General features: G+C 50.5%; 1 non-coding gene across 1 annotated transcript; it reads left to right on the forward strand.

The window, feature by feature from the left end:
- The first annotated feature begins 331 nt into the window (after window positions 1-331).
- SNAR-I (small NF90 (ILF3) associated RNA I) lies at window positions 332-452 on the forward strand. Its single transcript, NR_024343.1, has one exon. It is a non-coding gene; the product is annotated as a small NF90 (ILF3) associated RNA I (small nuclear RNA).
- The last annotated feature ends 253 nt before the right edge of the window (window positions 453-705 follow it).

A 705-nucleotide genomic window follows, 5' to 3' on the forward strand; every position in this document is an offset into this window, starting at 1 on the left:
GTTCGAGACCAGCCTCGCCAACATGGTGAAACTCCGTCTCCACTAAAAATACCAAAATTAGCCAGGCACGCGGCCTGGGCCTGTAATCCCAGCTACTCGGGAGGCTGAGACAGGAGACTCGCTTGAACCCAGGAGGCTGAGGTTGCAGTGAGCCAAGATCACACCACTGCACTCCAGCCTGGGCAACAGAGCAAGGCTCAGTCTCCCCCCTCCAAAAAAAAAAAAAAAAAAAAAAAGATACATTGAAGTAATTTAAAAACACTTAGGAAGATGTCATTTCTTCCTATCAAGGCGTCCTCCCTTTATGTTTTGTTGTTATATAGGGAACGATAAAAAAAATTTTTTTTCAACCAATGTGGACCAGGTGTTGGCCTCGAACTCGCACTCTCGAACCCTCGCCTCCCTGAAGGCCCGAGGGCAGGCGCAACCGGCCGGAGCCACAATGGCTCCGGGTGTCGCGGCTGTCCTTTCATCCCTTTGATCTTACGCAGGGTGATGCAGCCAATCACGAGAGGCTCACCCCTGACGTCACCCAGTCCCCAGGGCCAGGGAGGGCTCTGCGTTCCATGGCGCCCCCTGGAGGGAGGAAGGGGAACTGTATCTGAGAGAGAGCATGGCTACTGAATTTTATCAAATGCTTATCCAATATCACCATCCATACATTTTCTGATCATGAATATTCATCCCTTACTTTAATGCACCTGA

Source organism: Homo sapiens, chromosome 3, assembly GCF_000001405.40.
Source record: "Homo sapiens chromosome 3, GRCh38.p14 Primary Assembly".
Lineage (NCBI taxonomy): Eukaryota > Metazoa > Chordata > Mammalia > Primates > Hominidae > Homo > Homo sapiens.